We start from the raw sequence: 1,184 nt of genomic DNA on the forward strand, positions 1-1,184 counted from the left end.
ATTATTTTATAAACAAGGAACACTTAAAAATTGGAAGAACTTTATGGAGTAACAGAGATCTGGATATGCTCATAGGCCAATCAAATGACAATTGAGACTAATTTGGAAGCTATATTAGCTAGATTGTAGGATTCAGCAAATAAGTGAGTATGTTAATGTTATTAGGAACCCATATCTTTAATATAAGAATAAAAGAATGACATAAATAAAATCAAATAAGTTAATTAAAAACTTGTAAGCTTACATCTGAATGATACAGCTAGATAGATAGACAGATTCACAGACACGGCTGAAAAGCAATGATGGCTCAAAAGATGAACATCCCCAGAACTCAGATCTACTTATGAACCCAACTGTTTAAAAATAGAACCAGAGTTCCTTAGAGAAATTATAATATATTATAATATAATATAATATAAATATATTGTAATATAATATAAATAATATATATTTATATATAAATATATAGTAAATATTATACTATAAATTATACTATATAGTATATAATACTAATAGATTTTTATTATACTATTAGTATACTATATATCATATGTTATATAGTATATATACTATATATTATATATAATCTATACATATACTACATATAATCTATATATACAGTATATATAATATATAATATATAATAAAGCATATATATTATCTATTATATATATTGTATATATAATATAGATATATACTAGGAGTAAGTCGGATATTTCTCAGTTACAGAAATCTAAAGAAACATCATTACCAAATGCAATGCATAAACCTTGATTGAATCCTGGTACCAAAATTTTACTAGCTATAAATAACACCTTGGAAGCTTAAGGAATTATTCTAAGATATGGTAATGGTAATATGATTATTTAAAAGGACATTCTCATTTTTAGGAGGTACATTCAGAAGTATTTAGAGTGAAGTGTCATGACATCTGCAACTTACTTTCAATTAATTTAGTAAATATATGTGTGTGTCTGTGTGTGTGTGTGTGTGGTGTGTGTGTGTGTTTCTGTAGATATTTACAGATAGGGCAAGTAACGATTTTTGAAACTTTGTGGTCACTGTACAATTCTTCCAACTTTTCTATATGCTTGAAAATGTTCATAATAAAAAGATAGGGGAAAACTCTTCCTCAGATCTCACCCCAAAGCAACCTGACAAGTCAGTCTGCTTCCAACGGTGGT

This window comes from Homo sapiens, chromosome 2, assembly GCF_000001405.40.
Source record: "Homo sapiens chromosome 2, GRCh38.p14 Primary Assembly".
Classification (NCBI taxonomy): Eukaryota; Metazoa; Chordata; class Mammalia; order Primates; family Hominidae; genus Homo; species Homo sapiens.